Source organism: Homo sapiens, chromosome 9 (genome assembly GCF_000001405.40).
Source record: "Homo sapiens chromosome 9, GRCh38.p14 Primary Assembly".
Taxonomy (NCBI): Eukaryota; Metazoa; Chordata; class Mammalia; order Primates; family Hominidae; genus Homo; species Homo sapiens.
In genome coordinates this window covers 12333596-12345355 of record NC_000009.12, presented here as the reverse complement: position 1 = coordinate 12345355, position 11760 = coordinate 12333596, and the positions used below count along the sequence as shown (strand labels likewise).

General features: G+C 37.3%; 1 annotated feature.

Annotated features, from left to right (window-relative positions):
- Positions 10396-11029: an enhancer, noted in NCBI's record as "NANOG-H3K27ac-H3K4me1 hESC enhancer chr9:12334327-12334960 (GRCh37/hg19 assembly coordinates)". NCBI's record gives its function as "activates a minimal SCP1, AML or CMV promoter by ChIP-STARR-seq in primed H9 embryonic stem cells {active_cell/tissue: H9 hESC(primed)}" and the evidence as "EXISTENCE:reporter gene assay evidence [ECO:0000049][PMID:30033119]".

Below are 11760 nucleotides of genomic sequence, written 5' to 3'. Positions count from 1 at the left end.
ACAATTACTTTTGCACCAACCTAATACTTTGTGGAATGGATAAATCAAGCTAATTAACATAGGCATTACCTCACTTTTATTTTTGTGATGACAACCCTTAAAGTCTACTCTCAGCAATTTTCAAATGTTCAATATGTTACCTATAGTTATCATGATGTACAATGCATGTCTTGAACTTATTCCTCCAAAATACAATTTTGGGTCCTTTGACCATCATCTCCCTAATTACCCCACCTCCAACCTCTGAGAACCACCATTTTCATCTCTATTCCTATGAGTTTGGCTTTTTATCTTTTACATATAAGTGAGATTATGCAGTATTTGTCTTCCTGTGGCTTCTTTCACTTAACATGAGGTCTTCTAAGTTTATCCATGTTGTTGCAAATGACAGGCTTTTCATCTTTTTAAGGTTGAGTTCTATTTGGCTGTGTATATACACCACATTTCCTTTAACCATTCATCTATTAATAGACACATTGACTCCATATCTAGGCTATTGTAAATAATGCTAAAATAAACATGGAAGTGCAGATATCTCTTACACATACTGATTTTATAGCCTTTGGATATATACCCAGTAGTGCGATTGTTGGCTCATATAGTAATTCTACTTTAAACTTTTTGAGGACCCTCCAAATTGTTTTCCATGATGGTTATATGAATTTATATTCCCACTAGCTGTTTACAAAGACTCTGTTTTCTCCACATTCTCATGAACACTTGTTATTGCTCATCTTTTTGATACTAGCCATTCTGAGAGGTGTGAGGGAATAGCTCATTGTGGTTTGAATTTGCATTTCCTTGATGATTACTGAGGCTGAGCATTTTTTCATATACCTGTTTGTCATTTGCATGGCCTCTTTTAAGAATGTCTATTCAGGGGTCCTTTGTCCATTTTTTAACTTGTTATATGTTTTCTCACTATGGAGCTTTTTGAATTCCTTATATATTTTTAAAATCAACTTATCAATATCAACTTATATATATTCCTTATATATTTTTGAAATCATTTATCAGATGGATGTTTTGCAGATATATTCTCATTTTGTAGGTTGTCTCTTCACTCTGTTGATTGTTTCCTTTGCTGTACAGAGCCTTTTAGTTTGATGTAATCCTGTTTATCTATTTTTGCTTTTTAGTGCATATCTAAAAGATCGTTGTTCAGATCAATGTCATGGAACTTTTCCCCTATGTTTTCTTCTAGTACTTTTATAGCTTCAAGTCTCATGTTTAACACTTTAGTCCATTTTTAGTTGATTTTTGCATATTGTGTGAGATAAGGGTTTAATTTCATTTTTCTGCAAGGGGATATTAAGTTTTCTCAGCACCATTTATGAAAGATAATGTCCTTTATTCATTGTGTTTTTGAGCAGCTTTGTCAAAAACCAATTGACTGTCAATGCATTGATTTATTTCTGTCCTGTCTTATGGGTTCCATTTATTTTGGTTCTTTATATGGTGTTATTTCCTATATAATACTCTAATATTGCATTTCCAGTGTCCTATTTCTGAGCCTCTACTCTTGCTTTGGCCCACTTATTCTTATCCATGAATATAATACGCCCCTGTCTAGTATAGACTACTTTCTTTGTTGCCTACTCAATATCTTCATCCAATTTTGTCAGTCACCCAAATCTTACTTGTCAATTGCCAATTAATTATCTCTTCACTTCTGCCAGATGCTAGTCCCCTGTCACTTCCATTACATGTTTTAGTGAATAATTTTCTAATGTAGAATTTTTGAATTTTTTTCTATGAGCCTATTTCTCATTCAAATCACAGTATTCACTCATTCAGTTTGAGTTGGACACTAGCACAATTACACACTTGCTCTAATCAGCTACATGGATACTTTTATTTTTCTTTCCATTGTGTGAATTACAACAAAAATTCTAAAAATCTTAATTTAATTTGGTTATAATAATATTTACTCCAAGTTGATATTTAAAAACTGATACAATATTATGGGATTTTAAAGCTAATTATTTTATAAACAAATTTAATTCTTTTGCAATAGTGCAATCATCACACATTTTTTCAACAGTGAATACCTAGCTTTTCACTTACAAAGATTGAATTCATTTTGGTTTCCTCACTGAATTATGTTCTCTACACCTTATTCACACAGTTTCACAGTAGAGTTCTCTGTTTCAGAAATATGTCTAGTAGTTAAGTTTGACTAAAATTCTAGCTTCCCTTTATATCAAAGTAAACTTTTAAAACAGAAACTTGACACGTAAAGTTTAGTCAGGTTTTCTGGGATTGAGTTTAGAGTTAACTTTGATGTCTTGCACTGTGCTTTTCTTTCTTTACCATCTTCTGGGCAGTTTCTGTACTTTCTGTCTTGTTATATAACCTATTTTTATGTATACTTGTCAGATGTTTATTTCTGAACATATATCAATAAAAAGGATATAGCAAAGTGAAATAAAGAATTTCCATAAAGACTTTAAGATGTATTATCAAAAAAGTAATCGCAAATTTCATGACACTTAAAAAATACAATTCAAACTTGGAATTTCTTGAATATGTCCTCAACTCCACTGCCTGCTACATTTATTTTTACCTTATATTTTTAAAAGTACATTTCTATAAAGAGTAAACTAAAGCCTATTTATAGGAAAAGAAAACATAAAGAACTGTGTACTTTTTCATACTACTTTGAATTCCAGTAATTTAGTAGCATGAATCTTAGAAGTGCTTTAACCAAATGTTGAATTTTGTTTAGAAATGGAAACAGTTAATGAATGCACACTTTATGTCTAAAGAGAAGAAGAGCATTCTAAACCACTTCTGACAAGAAAATTTAAACAATTACAGATGCTTATGGTGCTAAACAGTCTATTGAGAGAAAGTTACAGATTGCTAAAGGTCGGTGTTCCTCCTCTGAGAAAGATTGGGAGAAGAACCAAATGTCTGCCCCATGTTTATTCTGGAATAAAGTTATCCAGTGTTTTCTTAATGTGCTTTTCTCCATCACAAACTTCTGCTTGAAAAATATTCAGTTTTCATTGTTCAGTTACAAAAGACATAAGATAATTTAATAAATTAATTCCAAGCATGGTATTTTTTAATTTTACTTTAAGTTCTGGGATACATGTGCTGAACATGCAGGTTTGTTACATAGATATACATGTGCCATAGTGGTTTGATGCACCTACCAACCTGTCATCTAGGTTGTAAGCCTCGCATCCATTAGGTATTTGTTCTAATGCTCTCCCTCCCCTTGGCCCCACCCCACGACAGGCCCTGGTGTGTGATGTTTCCCTCCCTGTGTCCTTGTGTTCTCACTGTTCAGCTCCCACTTATGAGTGAGAATATGTGGTGTTTGGTTTTCTTTCCCTATGTTAGTTTGCTGAGAATGATGGCTTCCAGCTTCATCCATGTCCCAGCAAAGGACGTGAACTCATTCTTTTTTATGCCTGCATAGTATTCCATGGTGTATATGTACCACATTTTCTTTATTCAGTCTATCATTGATGGGCATTTGGGTTGGTTCCAAGTGTTTGCTATTGTAAATAGCGCTGCAATAAACATACATGTGCATGTGTCTTTATAGTAGAATGATTTATAATCCTTTGGGTATATACCCACTAATGGGATGGCTGGGTCGAATGGTATTTCTGGTTCTAGATCCTTGAGGAATCACCACAATGTCTTCCCCAATGGTTGAACTAATTTACACTCCCACCAACAGTGTAAAAGTGTTCCTATTTCTCCACAGCCTCGCCAGCATCTGTTGTTTCCTGACTTTTTAATAATTGCCATTCTGACTGGCATGAGATTGTGTCTCATTGTAGTTTTGATTAACCATGGTATTTTTAAGGCAACACAAACACAAGGTAGAAAGATTCAACCGGATAGCATTTCTTATGAGCTAGAAATATTTTGAAGCTACATCAAAACAAAACATAGCAAAACAAAATACTGTTGTAAAGACTGAAGATCATAACTGCACATTTGTGCCTGGCATTTCTTAAGGGAAATTGCAACTCACTGTTTAGAGAACAACAGAAAATATCTAGAGAGAGCAACCAGAATAATAAAATCTCAAACCCATGCTTTTCAAAAATAGATTAATGTAGTGATTGTCAAAAATTGCTAACATATATGTATTTAACCATATTCAAAGGAAAAAAGAATCTTACATACCCAGCAATTAAACTTTGATTATTATTAATATTATATTACCTGGATAAAATAAAAAACTATGCTTTATAATTTTTATACAGCTGCATTCTCAAAGTTGGCAGAAAAGCAATATACATTTATTTTCTGGAAACAAGTAACTTTTTAAAAACTCAAGCAATTATTTCTGAGCAATAGCTGAAAACTTAATCTAGCCAATATAAAAATAACTCAGTCAAATTAATGATTAACCTACTGTTTCATGGATAAACTAAACAAAACAGAACAGAACAGAATTTCTCTATTCCATGTCTCTCTGTCTCAAATAAATCTCAAAGAAGGTTTCATATTAGAATTCTCATACCTCTTACTGGGTAGGGTCTTGCTCTCAAGATTCTTCCAGTTAAACAATTTCTGCCATATTGCATATTATTCCAAGACAATAAGGTCCATCAATATGGGGAAGTAGAAATAGGCTGGGAAAAGAGGTAAGTTGGAAATAAGAGTCATATTTCCTTGCAGTAATAGTATTCATTCTACTACACAGAAACTTCAGAAAATGTGATATCTATCTATCAGTCAATCTATCTGTCTATCTCTCTATCTATCTATCTATCTATCTATCTATCTATCTATCTATCTATGTATCTATCTATCTATCTATCTATGTATACTTGCTTAGTATGTAGGGGAAATCCAATATTTCAAAATATATCTTTGATATTTTAAACTTTACTAATAAATTCTTTAAATTTTAAAAATATACTCAAACTATGTTTTTATTCAGTATCTTTTCAGAAAATTCAATAATTTCTTACTGTTAACAAATGGCTTATTAATATTTATTATTAATTACTACTAAATTGTTATTATATAGTGTATTTTTCACCAGAATGATTCAATTTTTATATTGGATTCAAATTTTAACTATATTAACACCTACTCAGGTTTAATGCATGTGTTTAACTGCAACATTGCCAATTATAATATCTTCTTTGCCTATGTTCTAGCTCCTTGAGACTTGTTTAATTGCTTTTAATTACTTATTTTTCATGGGGAGTTACAGGGGTAATATATTTTTTGCACTCTTGCATATCTCTTTTTTTTTGGGAGGGGATTATATTGAATCCATTTATTAGTCAATTTGAGAAGAATTGACGCCTTAGTATATTTATTTAGACTTTTACTTTTTTTTTTTTCTTTTATTATTATACTTTAAGTTTTATGATACATGTGCACATTGTGCAGGTTAGTTACATATGTATACATGTGCCACGCTGGTGCGCTGCACCCACTAACTCGTCATCTAGCATTAGGTATATCTCCCAATGCTATCCCTCCCCCCTCCCCCCACCCCACAACAGTCCCCAGAGTGTGATGTTCCCCTTCCTGTGTCCATGTGATCTCACTGTTCAATTCCCACCTATGAGTGAGAATATGCGGTGTTTTGTTTATTGTTCTTGCGATAGTTTACTGAGAATGATGATTTCCAATTTCATCCATGTCCCTACAAAGGACATGAACTCATCATTTTTTATGGCTGCATAGTATTCCATGGTGTATATGTGCCACATTTTCTTAATCCAGTCTATCATTGTTGGACATTTGGGTTGGTTCCAAGTCTTTGCTATTGTGAATAGTGCTGCAATAAACATACCTGTGCACCTGTCTTTATAGCAGCATGATTTATAGTCCTTTGGGTATATACCCAGTAATGGGATGGCTGGGTCAAATGGTATTTCTAGTTCTAGATCCCTGAGGAACTGCCACACCGACTTCCACAATGGTTGAACTAGTTTACAGTCCCACCAACAGTGTAAAAGTGTTCCTATTTCTCCACATCCTCTCCAGCACCTGTTGTTTCCTGACTTTTTAGTGACTGCCATTCTAACTGGTGTGAGATGGTATCTCATTGTGGTTTTGATTTGCATTTCTCTGATGGTCAGTGATGATGAGCATTTTGTCATGTGTTTTTTGGCTGCATAAATGTCTTCTTTTGAGAAGTGTCTGTTCATATCCTTCACCCACTTTTTGATGGGGTTGTTTGTTTTTTTCTTGTGAATTTGTTTGAGTTCATTGTAGATTCTGGATATTAGCCCTTTGTCAGATGAATAGGTTGCAAAAATTTTCTCCCATTTGTAGGTTGCCTGTTCACACTGATGGTAGTTTCTTTTGCTGTACAGAAGCTCTTTAGTTTAATTAGATCCCATTTGTCAATTTTGTCTTTTGTTGCCCTTGCTTTTGGTGTTTTAGACATGAAGTCCTTGCCCATGCCTATGTCCTGAATGGTATTGCCTAGGTTTTCTTCTAGGGTTTTTATGGTTTTAGGTCTAATGTTTAAGTCTTTAATCCATCTTGAATTGATTTTTGTATAAGGTGTAAGGAAGGGATCCAGTTTCAGCTTTCTACATATGGCTAGCCAGTTTTCCCAGCACCATTTATTAAATAGGGAATCCTTTCCCCATTGCTTGTTTTTCTCAGGTTTGTCAAAGATCAGATAGTTGTAGATATGCGGCGTTATTTCTGAGGGCTCTGTTCTGTTCCATTGGTCTATATCTCTGCTTTGGTACCAGTACCATGCTGTTTTGGTTACTGTAGGCTTGTAGTATAGTTTGAAGTCAGGTAGTGTGATGCCTCCAGCTTTGTTCTTTTGGCTTAGGATTGACTTGGCGATGCGGGCTCTTTCTTGGTTCCATATGAACTTTAAAGTGGTTTTTTCCAATTCTGTGAAGAAAGTCATTGGTAGCTTGATGGGGATGGCATTGAATCTGTAAATTACCTTGGGCAGTATGGCCATTTTCACGATATTGATTCTTCCTACCCATGAGCATGGAATGTTCTTCCATTTGTTTGTGTCCTCTTTTATTTCATTGAGCAGTGGATTGTACTTCTCCTTGAAGAGGTCCTTCACATCCCTTGTAAGTTGGATTCCTAGGTATTTTATTCTCTTTGAAGCAATTGTGAATGGGAGTTCACTCATGATTTGGCTCTCTGTTTGTTTGTTGTTGGTGTATAAGAATGTTTGTGATTTTTGTACATTGATTTTGTATCCTGAGACTTTGCTGAAGTTGCTTATCAGCTTAAGGAGATTTTGGGCTGAGACAATGGGGTTCTCTAGATATACAATCATGTCGTCTGCAAACAGGGACAATTTGACTTCCTCTTTTCCTAATTGAATACCCTTTATTTCCTTCTCCTGCCTAATTGCCCTGGACAGAACTTCCAACACTATGTTGAATAGGAGTGGTGAGAGAGGGCATCCCTGTCTTGTGCCAGTTTTCAAAGGGAATGCTTCCAGTTTTTGCCCATTCAGTATGATATTGGCTGTGGGTTTGTCATAGATAGCTCTTACTATTTTGAGATACGTCCCATCAATACCTAATTTACTGAGAGTTTTTAGCATGAAGGGTTGTTGAATTTTGTCAAAGGCCTTTTCTGCATCTATTGAGATAATCATGTGGTTTTTGTCTTTGGTTCTGTTTATATGCTGGATTACATTTATTGATTTGCGTATATTGAACCAGCCTTGCATCCCAGGGATGAAGCCCACTTGATCATGGTGGATAAGCTTTTTGATGTGCTGCTGGATTTGGTTTGCCAGTATTTTATTGAGGATTTTTGCATCAATGTTCATCAAGGATATTGGTCTAAAATTCTCTTTTTTGGTTGTGTCTCTGCCAGGCTTTGGTATCAGAATGATGCTGGCCTCATAAAATGAGTTAGGGAGGATTCCCTCTTTTTCTATTGATTGGAATAGTTTCAGAAGGAATGGTACCAGTTCCTCCTTGTACCTCTGGTAGAATTCAGCTGTGAATCCATCTGGTCCTGGACTCTTTTTGGTTGGTAAGCTATTGATTATTGCCACAATATCAGATCCTGTTATTGGTCTATTCAGAGATTCAACGTCTTCCTGGTTTTGTCTTGGGAGAGTGTATGTGTCGAGGAATTTATCCATTTCTTCTAGATTTTCTAGTTTATTTGCGTAGAGGTGTTTGTAGTATTCTCTGATGGTAGTTTGTATTTCTCTGGGATTGGTGGTGATATCCCCTTTATCATTTTTTATTGCGTCTATTTGATTCTTCTCTCTTTTTTTCTTTATTAGTCTTGCTAGTGGTATATCTATTTTGTTGATCCTTTCAAAAAACCAGCTCCTGGATTCATTAATTTTTTGAAGGGTTGTTTGTGTCTCTATTTCCTTCAGTTCTGCTCTGATTTTAGTTATTTCTTGCCTTCTGCTAGCTTTTGAATGTGTTTGCTCTTGCTTTTCTAGTTCTTTTAATTCTGATGTTAGGGTGTCAATTTTGGATCTTTCCTGCTTTCTCTTGTGGGCATTTAGTGCTATAAATTTCCCTCTACACGCTGCTTTGAATGCGTCCCAGAGATTCTGGTATGTTGTGTCTTTGTTCTCGTCGGTTTCAGAGAACATTTTTATTTCTGCCTTCATTTCGTTATGTACCCAGTAGTCATTCAGGGGCAGGTTGTTCGGTTTCCATGTAGTTGAGTGGTTTTGAGTGAGATTCTTAATCCTGAGTTCTAGTTTGATTGCACTGTGGTCTGAGAGATAGTTTGTTGTAATTTCTGTTCTTTTACATTTGCTGAGGAGAGCTTTACTTCCAAGTATGTGGTCAATTTTGGAATAGGTGTTGTGTGGTGCTGAAAAAAATGTATATTCTGTTGATTTGGGGTGGAGAGTTCTGTAGATGTCTATTAGGTCAGCTTGGTGCAGAGCTGAGTTCAATTCCTAGGTATCCTTGTTGACTTTCTGTCTTGTTGATCTGTCTAATGTTGACAGTGGGGTGTTAAAGTCTCCCATTATTAATGTGTGGGAGTCTAAGTCTCTTTGTAGGTCACTCAGGACTTGCTTTTTGAATCTGGGTGCTCCTGTATTGGGTGCATATATATATTTAGGATAGTTAGCTCTTCTTGTTGAATTGATCCCTTTACCATTATGTAATGGCCTTCTTTGTCTCTTTTGATCTTTATTGGTTTAAAGTCTGTTTTATCAGAGACTAGGATTGCAACCCCTGCCTTTTTTTGTTTTCCATTTGCTTGGTAGATCTTCCTCCATCCTTTTATTTTGAGCCTATGTGTGTCTCTGCACATGAGATGGGTTTCCTGAATACAGCACACTGATGGGTCTTGACTCTTTATCCAATTTGCCAGTCTGTGTCTTTTAATTGGAGCATTTAGTCCATTTACATTTAAAGTTAACATTGTTATGTGTGAATTTGATCCTGTCATTATGATGTTAGCTGGTTATTTTGCTCGTTAGTTGATGCAGTTTCTTCCTAGTCTCGATGGTCTTTACATTTTGGCATGATTTTGCAGCGGCTGGTACCCGTTGTTCCTTTCCATGTTTAGCGCTTCTTCAGGAGCTCTTTTAGGGCAGGCCTGGTGGTGACAAAATCTCTCAGCATTTGCTTGTCTGTAAAGGATTTTATTTCTCCTTCACTTATGAAGCTTAGTTTGGCTGGATATGAAATTCTGGGTTGAAAATTCTTGTCTTTAAGAATGTTGAATATTGGCCCCCACTCTCTTCTGGCTTGTAGGGTTTCTGCCAAGAGATCCACTGTTAGTCTGATGGTCTTCCCTTTGAGGGTAACCCGACCTTTCTCTCTGGCTGCCCTTAACATTTTTTCCTTCATTTCAACTTTGGTGAATCTGACAATTATGTGTCTTGGAGTTGCTCTTCTCGAGGAGTATCTTTGTGGTGTTCTCTGTATTTCCTCAATCTGAACGTTGGCCTGCCTTGCTAGATTGGGGAAGTTCTCCTGGATAATATCCTGCAGAGTGTTTTCCAACTTGGTTCCATTCTCCCCGTCACTTTTAGGTACACCAATCAGACGTGGATTTGGTCTTTTCACATAGTCCCATATTTCTTGGAGGCTTTGCTCATTACTTTTTATTCTTTTTTCTCTAAACTTCCCTTCTCGCTTCATTTCATTCATTTCATTTTCCATCGCTGATACCCTTTCTTCCAGTTGATTGCATCGGCTCCTGAGGCTTCTGCATTCTTCACGTAGTTCTCGAGCCTTGGTTTTCAGCTCCATCAGCTCCTTTAAGCACTTCTCTATATTGGTTATTCTAGTTATACATTCTTCTAAATTTTTTTCAAAGTTTTCAACTTCTTTGCCTTTGGTTTGAATGTCCTCCCGTAGCTCAGAGTAATTTGATTGTCTGAAGACTTCTTCTCTCAGCTTGTCAAAGTTGTTCTCCATCCAGCTTTGTTCCGTTGCTGGTGAGGAACAGCGTTCCTTTGGAGGAGGAGAGGCGCTCTGCTTTTCAGAGTTTCCAGTTTTTCTGTTCTGTTTTTTCCCCATCTTTGTGGTTTTATCTACTTTTGGTCTTTGATGATGGTGATTTACAGATGGGTGTTTGGTGTGGATGTCCTTTCTGTTTGTTAGTTTTCCTTCTAACAGACAGGACCCTCAGCTGCAGGTCTGTTGGAGTACCCTGCCGTGTGAGGTGTCGGTGTGCTCCTGCTGGGGGGTGCCTCCCAGTTAGGCTGCTCGGGGGTCAGGGGCCAGGGACCCACTTGAGGAGGCAGTCTGCCCGTTCTCAGATCTCCAGCTGTGTGCTGGGAGAACCACTGCTCTCTTCAAAGCTGTCAGACAGGGACATTTAACTCTGCAGAGGTTACTGCTGTCTTTTTGTTTGTCTGTGCCCTGCCCCCAGAGGTGGAGCCTACAGAGGCAGGCAGGCCTCCTTGAGCTGTGGTGGGCTCCACCCAGTTGGAGCTTCCCGGCTGCTTTGTTTACCTAAGCAAGCCTGGGCAATGGCGGGCGCCCCTCCCCCAGCCTGGCTGCCGCCTTGCAGTTTGATCTCAGACTGCTGTGCTAGCAGTCAGCGAGACTCCGAGACTCCATGGGCATAGGACCCTCCGAGCCACGTGCGGGATAGAATCTCGTGGTGCGCCGTTTTTTAAGCCTGTCGGAAAAGCGCAGTGTTCCGGTGGGAGTGACCGGATTTTCCAGGTGCCGTCAGTCACGCCTTTCTTTGACTAGGAAAGGGAACTCCCTGACCCCTTGCGCTTCCCGAGTGAGGCAATGCGTCACCCTGCTTAGGCTCCCGCACGGTGCGCGCACCCACTGACCTGCGCCCACTGTCTGGCACTCCTTAGTGAGATGAACCCGGTACCTCAGATGGAAATGCAGAAATCACCCGTCTTCTGTGTCGCTCACGCTGGGAGCTGTAGACCGGAGCTGTTCCTATTCGGCCATCTTGGCTCCTCCCTGCACTCTTGCATATCTCATATTACATTTTTTGCTTCCCTTACACATAATAGAGATGTTAAGCCATAAGTTAAGTTTGGGATCAGAAATCTCTGCCCTATCCTTCAGCCCTCTATAAGCATTGTTTTGCTTTATTTGGCTTTTTATATTGAGTAAAAGGATAAAGACAGTTTTGTTTTTTCTGGAATTTATTTTTTACCTAGATACATTGAAAATGTTTTCTTTGTTTAGCAATTTCAAGGGCAACCATTGAACTGTTCTCTGTCACTATAGTTTTGTCTTTTTGAGAATACGATATAAACAATATAGTATGTAATCTTTCAGATGGGCTTATTTCAGCCTATGCTATTTTCCTTTTCATTTTTTCTGATCATCTCGCAAGTGTGCAGAGATATCTTAT